The sequence below is a fragment of the Homo sapiens genome, chromosome 3, assembly GCF_000001405.40.
Source record: "Homo sapiens chromosome 3, GRCh38.p14 Primary Assembly".
Lineage (NCBI taxonomy): Eukaryota > Metazoa > Chordata > Mammalia > Primates > Hominidae > Homo > Homo sapiens.
The window spans coordinates 124,287,227-124,300,301 of NC_000003.12; the positions used below are offsets into that span (position 1 = coordinate 124,287,227).

At 42.6% G+C, this 13,075-nt stretch overlaps 1 protein-coding gene across 32 annotated transcripts in view; it reads left to right on the plus strand.

The window, feature by feature from the left end:
• KALRN (kalirin RhoGEF kinase) overlaps window positions 1-13,075 on the plus strand; it is a 692,957-nt gene that overhangs the window by 253,858 nt on the left and 426,024 nt on the right. For all 32 annotated transcript variants that reach the window (XM_006713810.4, XM_017007429.2, XM_011513279.3 and 29 more), the window contains exon 6: window positions 11,565-11,687. In XM_006713810.4, the coding sequence (XP_006713873.1) occupies window positions 11,565-11,687 (123 nt within the window). The remainder of the gene's footprint in view (window positions 1-11,564; window positions 11,688-13,075) is intronic.

Sequence of the window (13,075 nt, forward strand, 5' to 3'; positions counted from 1 at the left end):
CTTTTTAGCTCTTAATATGCCCCACCTCTCATACCTGTTCTCTGCTAGACTTTCTGGAGTCTTGTCCTGCATATGCAAAGCTTGGGATTTGGCTAAGGACCTGAGGGAAATTTTAGTGAAGACTTTAAGGTAGCTCCTCTGCATCTCCCTCCACTGTAATATCCTGTCACCCAAATCTCAGCCTCCTTACCAGTCCCTGAACGCTGATACCCATTTTTTACATCCATCAAGACTATTCCTGCCCTCTGCTTGGCTTCTACTTCTCCGCTCCACAGTTAGGAAAATATCCTCAGGGAGAAAGCTGAGGTGAATATGGAACTTACACTGTATGCTTTCTCCCTTTCAAGGATCATTGGTCTATCTTGGTTATTGACCAATGCCTTTCAAATAGCTAATAGACAGTAGGGTTAAATATGATACCAGCTACTTAGTCAGGGACAGACCATAAGTCTCCACGTGAACATTTTAAATAAAAATGCAAGTATATTGAGGTTACCTGGAGAGCTTCTATGGAATCAGAAAATCAATGGTAGGGCCTAGGAAGATATATATATATATATATATATATATATATATATATATATATATATATATATATATGTATATAATTTTTATATATTTAATTTTTATGTATATTTAATATATATATTTAATTTTTGTTTTTTGAGACAGAGTTTCATTCTGTCACCCAGGCTAGAGTACAGTGGTGTGATCTCGGCACACTGCAACCTCCACCTCCTGGGTTCAAGTGATTCTCCTGCCTTAGCCTCCCCAGCAGGTGGGACTACAGGTGCCTGCCACCACGCCTGGCTAATTTTTTGTATTCTTATTAGAGATGGGGTTTCGCCTTGTTGGCCAGGCTGGTCTCGAGCTCCTGACCTCAGGTAATCCACCTGCCTTGGCCTCCCAAAGTGCTGGGATTACAGGTGTGAGCCATCATGCCCAGCCAGGAAGTTATATTTTTTAAGAAAACATTTCAGATAGTTCTAAATTAAGGCTATGTTTGTGAACTACTATGGTAAACACTAGAGAAATGAGTTTCCAAGAAAAAGAAGTCAGTATGGGCTTATTTGGTCAAGAAAGGCATCAGGAGGAGATGAGACTTCAATTTTGAAGGATGGGAATAATCTGGAGATTTGAGTGTGGGTATTTCATGGTGGGGGGAAATGTGGACACCAATATAGGGATGGAATGAGCATAATATAGTGTGTCTGCATGGCAGTGAATAAAACAATTTGGCTGCAAAAGATACTTGGAATAGGACTGTGATGTGAAATAATAATGTAGATTTGGACCAGTCTGGGGTTGAGAGAGGCCTCAAATACCTGGTTAGGAAGATTGGATTTTTCATTGTAGGTATCAGCAATAGTAGGGGTTGGTTTTTGTTTTCTTTTTATTATTTTGACTGAGATAATGACACGGGAAAGCAATGTATTAGTGCAGTGAACCTGATGGGGTCCGATGGCTTAGTATAAGGGACAGAATGGAGTAAGGGGGCCAAATAGGCAAGTATTTGTAATTTATTATCTAGGCAGGGTGGGCTGAGGGATGAGTAGCAGCAATAATGGAAGTAAAAGGCATATTCCAGAGTTATTTGAGAAAATAGAGAAAAAGTTAGCTCTGAGGGATGACGCGAAGATGTGGGAAGGCAGGAAAAATTAGTAGTTTTGAGATGCTTGTGGAACATTAAGAGGATATTAATATTGAGTCCATAGATACTGTCTTAGTTTGTTTTCTGTTGCTATAAAATAATGCCTGAGACTAGGTAATTTATAGAGAAAGATTTATTTAGCTCATGGTTCTGGAGGCTGGGAAGTCCAAGAGCTTATAGCATCCTGTGAGGATCTACTTGCTGCATCATAACATGGCAGAAGGCACCACATGTTGAGACAGGGCAAGTGTGCTAGCTCAGGTTCCTCTTCCTCTCCTTCTAAAGTCACTAATTCCATCATGGGGGGGGTCCCACTTTGATGACCTCATCTAATCCTAATTACCTCCCAAAGGCCTCCCCTCTAAATGCCATCAACATATGAACTTGGGGATTAAGTTTTCAACACATGAAATTTGGGGGCACATTCAAACCATAGCAGGCACTGTGTGACTATAGATAGTCCAGGATTTAAGTCTGTATTGGGGAGACCATTTAATGGTTTAAAAGCATGACTTTTGGAGTTATGTGGACCTAGATTTGAGTCTTTAATATGCCACCCAGAATGTGTGACCATGACCAAGTTACTTAATCTCTCTGAATCTGTTTCTCTACCTAAAAAAAAAATAAATAAAAAGGTGGTGATTATGGCATCTGTTACTTCATAAGGCTGTTATGAGGATTGAGATAATGTGTGTAAACCTCATTGTGTAGAGCCTGGCATGTATTTATTCTTGTCAATTATCTGGGAAGTTATTGTTAGAGAGCATTATGAAACAGGAACTTGCATGGGATTTAGGTTCAGATGGACACTAGAGTCCAATTTATCTTCATCACTTACAAGCTGTGGGATCTTAGCCAATTTATTTGGCTTCTTAATACTGAGTTTTCACCATGTTTAAAATGGAATTAACAATATCTTCTTTGTAGCATTATTATGAGGATTATGTGACATACACTATGAAGGCTCTTGGCACAGGCACATGAAATAAGACATAGTATTATTGTTGTTGAAGTTGTGGGCCCGGGTGGATATTCACATGGAGAGGGTTTGATGGATGAAGGGTAAAGGGCTGAGGTCCATGTTTAGATTGTCACAATAGGCTGTGAAGGACACAAAAGGAAGCCACAAATTGGCAGCCAGGGAAGTGGGAGGTAAGTTTAGATAAGTCATTGTAGGATTGGAGGATTGGTAAGCTTTCAAAATTAGAGTTTTCCTGTCATTTTTGTCATGCTGAGACTAGATATGATGTGTCAAGGAAGAAAATTCAAGTATGTGAAAACACTGATTCTCCAGAGAAAATGTTTACAAGTCTAGAGACTTGTGAAAGCAGGAAGAGACACTCATCATGTCTGAAGCCAGATGGGCTGCTGCTGAAAATTACCTGGTCTTGGGGGGCAGACAGGGTGGAATTTCAGAAAGGACTGCATCTGATTCTGACACGAGGTCAAAGTGAGTGAGAACTGACAGAATAAAGAATTCAGAAACTAGGAAGTGACTGGGTTTCATCGTGGGTGTCAACTCAAGAAAGTAGTAAAAGCAACCATATTTTAAGGGCTGAAGGAGGAATTGGATGGAGGAAAAACAAAGGCAGTAGGGGCAGAACACACTTCTGAAAGTCTGGTGATGAAGAGAAGGAGAGACAGAAGGAAGCTCCGGGCTCATTGGAGGGTTTAGCAGCAGAGTTAAGAGCATCAACTCTGGAACTAGACCTCCTGGGTTTGAAACCTTGACTCTGATGTTTATTAGCTGTGTGGCTTTAGACAAGTTAATTAATTTCTTGGTGCCTTAGTTTCCTAATTCATAAAAGGGAGATGATGATATTGAGGGTTAATATTGGGGAGATAATTATGAGGTTATTAGGAGGATTAAGTGAGTTAATATATATAAAGTGCTTAGTACAGTACCTGTCACATAGTGAGCATTTAACAAATCTTAGTTGTTGGAATCGTCATAACTGTCATCATCATTGATGTTATGGAGATAACATTAACATATCATGGAGATAAATTGTTATGGAGAGAAGGGAAGAGGAAGAAAAAGAAGACAAGAGGTTTATACTGTTGTAGGTATAGTTTGGCTCTAAAATATGAGCACAACACCTACCAGGGAGTCTTCTTAGGTCCCACTAAACACTCAGATTTATGAGACTACCATGGGCCATCTTGGGTACTGATCTACTGAGAATGATAGAAGATGGGAACCACAGCTTGCCAGCAGAGCAGTGCTTGCAGCAGTTCAGCTCAGCCATCGGCTTAGGTGCAAGGAGGTAAGATCTGCATTGGGCAGCTGTAGGAGCTGCCATGGCTTATAAACTCCATGCCCCATGGGAACCAGTATGTTTGGTAACAACTCCGTTGGCACAGCTTCCAGAGTTTCTGCAATGAACATTGCAGTTATAAAAATCACCACCTCAGGGATGTCCAAGCTATGGTGTACCCATCAGGTATTTGCAGTTCACTTACAGTTCCTCCCAATCAAGATGAAATTTGTGAAGCAGGGGATTTTTTTTTTACCATAAGAAACATGATTTAGCAACATGTTGGCACATACCATCTTTTATCTGTTTTCAGGGAAGCTGAACTTGGATGTTAACTGAAGGTCAAATTACCATGTAAGAGGGGAAAGGGTTTTGTTAACCCTTTGCTCGTAGTGGGATATTTGGCTGTTTCACAGAGAAATCCGACCTGTTCTAGATTGTGAGGAACATGTAAGGGTGTTAGACATGGGATTTGAGATTTAAGGAATTTGGGTATGGAAGGTGTAAGAAATGAGTTAGGGGATCCGTAGCATGTTTACAGATCAGAGACGTGGCCTGGTCAGTGAGATGTTTGGCATCCTGGCCAGTTACTGAGGATACAGTGAAAGTGTCTCCCAGGTAACCAGGCTGTGCTGTCCTTCCTTGAGCAGACTGGATTTATGACAAAAGACAAAAATGGCTTCTCTTTTACACAATATATAAAAGTATGCCAACTGACATGCCAAAAACACGAAGGAAACAAGCAGAGCTTCAAGAGATATTTATTACACCTACAGCCTCTCAGGCCCATATCCCAGCTGCCTCCCCCGTCTGTAGATGTCCGTGTAATGATCTCTTCAGAACCTAAATACTCTGTGGTCTGCAGGGTTTGCAGGATACGAAAGAGGTGAGATGTCACATTCTTTCAGTAAGGAATTCTTGGAACCTGGAGAAAACTCCACATTTTGGGGTCCTTTATGAGGTCTGTGTGTTGCCCTATTTGCACAAGAAAATGTGTCCTGGGTCAGTCCAAGTTCCATGAAAGCAAAATTGTAAAGTGGGGAGATTTTGCCTTTGATTCTCACGTCTATTTTAGGGCTTCCCTCCTACTCTCTAGGACCTCTCTGCCACTTTGTAGGATCTCATCCCTGGGCCATGTTCACAAAGGACCTTGCCCTCCTACTAAACTGTTTCTATATTCAGGATAAGCTAATTCCAGGAGGGATTGCATGAAAAATTGCATTTTAATAGGCATCTCACCTGAGTGAAAAACTGTTAAGAGCCAAAGGAACTGAGTCTCTAATAGTGAGAGTTGAGGTGTAGCAGAGAGGGTGGGGAAGGGAGAGTCTGGAAGCAAGCCAAGAGGAAGTAAGATTCCCTGGTCAGGCCACCCAGGGACAGCAGGAAGGCACCAGTGCCCTCAGGCAGAGCCCTGAGAGGGTGTCTGGGTCTCTGAGTGCGTGAAGGTGGAGGTGGTGGGAGGATGGACAGGCACCTTTGGGCTGTGTCTGTGCGGTGCCCTGCGGTCACTCTGGGGGTGCATGTCTAGGTGGGTGGGCGGTGGATGTGTTTGCATATGAGCTGCAGGTGTGATTCCCCATTTACTGCAATCTTAAATTCATACCTTTCATCTGTTTTTTACTATAATGAAAACATTTAGGAAATATGTGCAATAGAATATATGCTCATATGCAGATTTCAGAATCTATCATATATGTAGCACTTAACAAAGCATTTTCATAGCCATCATTTTATTTGAATCTCCCTGATACCCTAAGGTTTAAGTAGTTTAAATTATTACCCACATTTTATAGATAAGGAACTGAATTTCAGACCAATGATAAAACTTGTCAAAGTTTATACAGCAGAGTCTGTACTGATTTGAATTCTGTTCCTTGCGCTCTAACACTCATACAATTTTATTTTGGAATTGACTGGGCGGCTAGTTTCCCAGATATAACAAGGTTCACCCGCAAGGAGGTTGTTAGTTCTCTCTAGGGCACAAGCTTTTATGGATGCACCACTGTAGTGTACACAGGGTATAGTGAACATGATTGATATTGGGATGCACATATTTAGGCAAAGAAAAGCCATTGGTTGTCTTGTGTCCTCTTAATCAGCTCATCAAAGCTGAATATGAACATATTTAATACCAATGTAATCTATAATTAGAGTATAAAATACTAACAATAGATAATAAGGTGGTTTGAAAGTTAAAACTCTAAATCAGATGCTATTGCTAAATTTGGCAAATGAAGGAAAATAAACATAAGATTCTTAATATACTTGTCCTATGAAATAATTTATGCTTCTTAAAAAAAGAACAATAATAACATTTTAGCTATTCCTATTATTGAAAGGAGAAAAAGGTTTCTGTTTGTTTTCCTAATTTGCATTTAAGTAGATTCATTTAACATTTACTGTATTAAGAACTAGATTTGTATATTTTCACTGGATTTTAGCCAGCAGAAAAAAAAATTACTTAGCTTGGTTAAAAACAAAACCCCAAAAGAAAAGGAAAAAAAAACCCCAAATGACTTACATGTAACATCTATCTTCTTAATGAGACTAAACTATGTTAATTTCAAAGAGATACAATTTCATTATTTAGACACGAACTTTCCTCTTTGTAGAATTTTTTTTGTTATATTACACTTTGCTGAACTCACCATTTGTGGCTTCTCAAAAAACAAAGACAAGTTTGAAGGCACTTTGGAGATATTTTTAGTTTAAAATGTCCTAGCTGGAAGGGAGCTTAGAAAGAGTCCACTTATCTGGAGACTAGCAACCGAATAACCTATGACCAACTCATAGTATTCATTCATTCATTCATTCATTCAGTGAGTATTGAGAGAACTAGAGCTATTTGAATCAGCCATCCCCAGACACCTGGCACTCCATCTTGGTGGGGCAGGCAGTGGAGGAAGAGGAGAAGAAAGAGGAGGTAGAGAAGGAGGAGCAGGCTAGATATTGACAGGGAAGTGTTCCAACTGAGGAATAGCACCTTACCCCAGATAGAGTACCATCTGGGGTAAGAGATCATTCAGGTTCTGAAGAGATTATTACACGGACATCTACAGCTGCCCTTTCAGCTAACTTTTAGGGATAACTGCCCTGGGGAGCTCAAGCAGAGAAAGTCTTACAGCCATATGAGTGGGAGGCAGGGCGGTGTCCCCAAAGCATGGCTCAGTGGGCACTCAGTGAATGTAGCCTTGGGTAGAATGAATTAAATCTACACCCTGGACTTTACTTCCCTGAACCTGTTTTCCTGCCTGGGAAGTGGGCCTGATGATAGCACCTTGTGGGATTGTTTTATGGATGCAATGTAATGATGAAGGGTGAGTGGACATTTTGAACTCTAAAGCATCACACAATTGTCAGGGCTGAGACTAAGAAGATTCTCTTCTTTTTTTTTTTTTTTTTTTTTTGAGATGGAGTCTCGCACTGTTCCCTGGGCTAGAGTGCAGTGGCATGATCTCAGCTCACTGCAACCTCCGCCTCCCGGGTTCAAGTGATTCTCCTGCCTCAGCCTCCCAAGTAGCTGGGATTACAGGCACCCACCACCAAATCCAGAAGCTTCTCTGGCTATAAAACAATGCCATTTTTCTCACTGACATTATTTTATTCAAAAAGATAGAAATGTAAGTTGTAGCAATGAATATATCTTCTGATCCAGGAGAATCAACAAAACTATTTTTTATTTTGGGTGGAAAAAATGCATTCTATACATTTCCAAATTGTGCGTATTATAAACCAGGATGCTTGCCTCCATTCTGCAAACCACTATCTCTTCAAATGAGGAGAAGATCAGAAATGAAGTGACTTTTCCACAGTCTCATGTGGAGTTAGTGACAGAGCTGGGCCTGGAACCAGTGTAGTCTTCATCTCACTTGACTGTATGTATACATGCACACGCATGCATTCATGTATGCACACATTCTGCCTCTGCAGCCAGTTCCACTGAATGTAACAGAGATGACTATGAACCTTGCAGACAGCCAGCCTTGCAGGGGTGAGGATTATATGCTAGTAGGCAGCAAGTTTAGGTCTAGAGAAGATTTGTGATTGTCCCTTAGGAAACCTTGGTTCCTGACATCACATGAGACCATCTAATCCCCAGAGCAGGTCTTTTTCTCTCTACTGAGATGTGTATCACCTCTTTGGAGCGCCACCTCCAGTGAAAGCTAAACTTTTCCAGAATGTCCCAGACCCCAGTGACAAGCTTGTATGCTCCAAATGTAGGAGGCAAAATCAGTTGGGATGGCATGGGCGCAGACCTCATTTTGTAAGAAGCTGATTCAGCAAGGTGCACAGTTCCTTCAGCACTCTCAACTCTCACCTGTCTTTAACTCATTTTTATATTGCTTTCCACCCTAATTGGCCTGTGTTCAGCTTTCCCTACTCTGTGGTTGAGGGATCTGGTGCTGAGCAATCTAATCATTCTGGTGCCAGCACATAACTCATCTGCTTATTTGCATATCTAAGTGACCATTTAACATAACATACAGGGAAGGTCACTAATCGGCCACTGAAACATCCAAGAAAGTGTATGGAGTGAGCGCTTTTCATCACAAGTTCTAAGGACTTCAGGCATTTCAGACTTTCATTAACTTTATTGATTCTTTTGTCAATAAAGAAAAGAAATGAGAAATTATTTTAAAATAGGGCTGGGAGGCAGAATTCTAAAGATAAAAATTATAGAATCAGAGTCCTCTAAATTCCTGTCTTCTTTTCCTTCTTGTCCTTAATAATAATTAAAGAAGAAAAAATAAAAGCCCTGAACAAATGCCTGTGATGTGAGGGTAGCTGAGGCTGGAGGACCCAGGATAGTGCACACAGCACAAATATCGACCCAACCTCTACAGGAGCCCCAGCCTGAAATAAATTCTCTGACACTCAGAAGTAAAGAATGGTCCTTTCGTCCTTTCTTTACTGTTGGTGTAAGTAGATGGAAGTGTAATTCAAAAGGGAGAATAATCTCCAAATCATGCACGTTTGCCTTTGGAAGGTGATGTTTTTATACTTAAGTGTGAGTTGTTACAGCCCTGATGTCTCTCTCCTGACCTTTAGACACAAATCTAACTGCCTACTGGATACCTCCCCTTGAAACTCTCACAGGCCTCCCAAACTCAGCACATCTAAAACGGAACATACAATTTCCCACCCAAGCTTCTTACCTTCTTCTTTAGGCAGCATCTGTGGTGGTACTTTTTATTACCAGGACTCAGGTGCCATGCCAGAAGCCTGGCTGTTCTCTCTAGCTCTTCCCCACCTTCTCCTCTCTAAACAACTAAGTCCCCAATCCTGCTCCCAGTAGCTCTCAAATCTGCCAATTTCTCAGACTCTACTGCCACTCCCGTAATCCAGGACTCCGGGTCCTCGCCCTCGTCAGGATTTCAGTAGCAGCCTTCTAGCCATTTTCTCTTCCCTTCCAGTCCACATCCCTCACTGTCATCAAAGCTCACTTCACACTTCACTACCCAGCTTAAAACCTCCCACCAGCACCTGGCAGCCGACAATGTGTGGTCCAGGTTCCCTGAAGCCTGTGTGCAAGGCTCTTTGTGGTCAGTCTGTCCCACCTGCCTCCCCAGCCACACTTCCTCCTTGATGTCAGGCTCCAGAAACACAGCTGAGGACCCTTCATTGCCCTCGACACAGTGGGCTATCCCAGTTCTGTCGCTTTGCCTGAGCATGCATCCCACTGGCCTTCATCTGGCTGATTCCTATCTGAATCAAGGTTTGACTCAGGTGTCACCTCCTCTGAGAAGCCTTCTCTGCTCTTCCCCATCTCACTCCTCAAGGATAGGTGAGGTGGCCTCTTCTGTGCTCCCTCAACAGCCAATATTCACCTCTATCTTATCAGTAGATGTTTTTTTGAGTTGTAATTTTAATCACATTGTGTGCCAGATTATAATAAAGTTGTATCTGAGTCCATGTCAACTTTCCACATTAGCCTTTAAGCCACTAATACTCAAGAACCATATTTTAGTCATTTTTGCCTCATGCCACCTCCAGCGGTCCCTGGCACATAGCAGGTATCCCATAAATACTGGTTGAATGTAATTGAAGTAGTAACTCACTCTTCTGTTCAAGGGACATAATTGGATAAGGCTGCAGTTCTGGCTCCAGAGAGCTGGTGCAATCATGGCCACTTCTTAGCCTGTTTCTGTTCTCAGCTGTTTCCTGCTTCACTCTGCAACTGGGCTGTGGCCTTTAGTCCATCCCAAATGGATTGTGAGGCTTAAGTAGTGCAGTTCTCTTCTCCAAGTATACTCTTTCACACCTTTCTTGGCTTTTGCTGACTTAGCCATTGTTTTTTGGTCCCTAGCATGTGTGAGTCACTGAGCTGAGATGATGAGGAGCCTCGAGCTGTGGCACACTGGAAATGGTTGAGTTTCCAGGTCCTCACCCACATCAGGATTTCTGTAGCAGCCTCCTAACCATTTTTCTCTTCCCTTCCAGTCCGCATCCCCTTGGGGAAGAGAAACTGTAAGGGACATGTGATGGCTATCTTCAAATATTTAAAGGGCTGCCTTAAGGAGAAAATAGTAGAATTTCCTGCTCTGGACAGAATATTACAGAAAGTCCAACTTAAACTGGCTTTAATAATAAAGAGGATTTCTTGGCTCAGGTCCAAGGAAGTCCAGAGACAAAGTGGAAACCAGACAATGCTCAGCCAGGGCTCTGCCTGCTTCCTGCAGTTGTCTTGGCTCCACCCTTTCTCTACCCATTGGCTTCACCCTCAGGCTGCCAGAAGAATGGCTGCAGCAATTTGAGGTCAGAGCCACATACAACAATACTGGAAGAAGAGAAGCCATAACTAAATAACTAGGATTCTGTTTTCCTAGAAGTTTCTAGCAAACTTCCCTCATGTTTTATTGTACTAAATTGGATCACATTCTTATATCTGAGACAATCCCATTGGTTGGGAAATGTCATGCACTGTTTGGCTTAGGTCTGGTGTCCCAAAAAGCCAGGGGTTCTGGTCAGCTCCCATTGAAGTATGTGGGCTGCCTGGAAGAGGGCTGGATACCTAAGTGAAAACCAGGGTATGGAGCTAGGAGGAGGAAGATGGCTTAATGCCCACTGTGCTAGCACCAGGTGGTACTTATACTACGCTTAAAACCCTCATCTTCTGCTTCCCAGTGGGTTATAGCAGAAACCCAGGAATTGTGAGGCTGTAGAGTTATGAGAAAAGCTGATTCACTTCAGAATCAATTCAACATTGTGTGTGGCTGGGCAGTGTATAAGGGGGGCAGAGGCGAGTAAGGATGTCCCTGTTGCTTCCTTCAAAGATTTCTCTCTTCTACTAGTGCGGCAGGAGATGCATTAAGCCTCCCAGCTTGTCTCCTCAGCACCTGTCCCTAAAGCAAGCATGCTGGTAATGGTAAACAGCTTCCTCTCCCATCTCCCAATTATCTCACTCATTTTCTCTTTTTCCCTTAGGCTCTGTAATGCAACACAGCGGCTGCTGGTGGGGTCTTACGCTAAAAGTGAGGGCTCTCCTGAGAAATCAGGCTGTGGCCCACCCCATTAAGACCCCGAGACTCAGAACAATAACTGGTTCTCACTGAGCACCAGCAGGAGAGCTTTTTCCCCTTCCACTAGCTCTGAAAGTTTTGCCCTATTCGACCCATGACCATTCTGATTATGCTGTGCCTTCTTGTCCTCTCTAGATGTTTGACTGGATAAGCCACAACAAGGAGTTATTCCTCCAGAGCCACACGGAGATCGGAGTCAGCTACCAGTACGCCCTTGACCTCCAGACGCAGCACAATCACTTTGCCATGAACTCCATGGTGAGCTGAGGGGCTGTTCTCAGCACTGCCTCTGGGAGTGGGAGAGTGGGGAGAAGTGGGAGGAGGGACAGAAACAGACTTTCCACCCGAGGAAGAACTGTGAACATGCTGACCCTTTGGTGTTCCATTTGTTGGAATGGGGATGAGTGCAGGGCATGTGGCCAGCCAGCTGTTCCTGCAGCAGATTATGCCTCCAGATCCTGCTTTACACAGTGAAAGAATGTGTCCCGGGTTGCAGGAGGCATTGGCTCAGCTCAAGTCTAGAAGGGCGAGTTCCACCAGTTCCACTTCACTGACTTAGCCAACGTTTTTTGGTCCCCAGCATGTGTGAGTCACTGATCGGGGATGGTGAGGGGCCTCAAGCTGTGGCACATTGGAAATGGTTGAGTGACCCGGGGCTGTTTAGACTGGGGAAGAGAAACCCTAAGGGACATGTGATTTCTGCCTTCGAATATTTAAAGGGCTGCCTTAAAGAGAAAAGGGTAGAATTGCTTTATGTTTGTTTAGAAGGCAGAAATGTTCAGGGGATGGCAGTTTGAAGGGGCGGCAGGATGTGGCTTGGAGCAGGAGGTGGGGTGGGATGCAGTGGGAGACAGTGAGCTCTCCATGATGAGCAGTGTTCAGGCAGATGCTGAACACTCAGAGAGGGATGTTTGCTAACTGTTTGGCCAGATAGAACTTACTTTACCTCTCTATGCTTCAGTTTCCTTATGTATAAAATGGAAATAATAATAGCTACCATATAAGGTTGTTGTAAGGATTTAATGTGTTAACTGTAAAACAATGAGAACGGTGCCTGGCACATAGTAAGTCATCAGTAAATGCTGGTGTTATGATAATGATAAGGATGGAGGAGTTCACTCCAGATGACCACTCTTATCCCTCATAAACCTAACACTTCGGGATATATTTTTGTTTTCCTGCGTGGCTACCCCAAGATTTTATTTCAAAATTGTGTCTGCTCTTTGAAGCCATTGTATTTCAAACTCCTGCAGCCTCAGAATGCCTATCTCCTCCACCAGCTCTTTCTACTTGAATTATTGGTCCAGAAGAATAGCTCCACCATTCCTCATATATCTGAAAAACAAAGACAGCTTATCATTGTAGCTGGTGATGTTGGGAGTGGGGCAAGTGTTAGAAAAACAGAAACAAGGTGAATCACAGAGGCCAAGAAGGAAGAGAATTTCATTGTCTACCAGGCTCTTTTAAATATGCTATGCACTAGAGTTAACACACTGGAGAAGAAATATTTTAGGTTGGTGCAAAAGTAATTGTGCTTTTGCCATTACTTTTAATTAAATAATTCTGGCCTCAAGTTGTTCACTGTCTAGCTAGAGAAAGAAAAGTAGATAATCATGGTGCAGCTTGATATGTGCAGTGATAGAGAT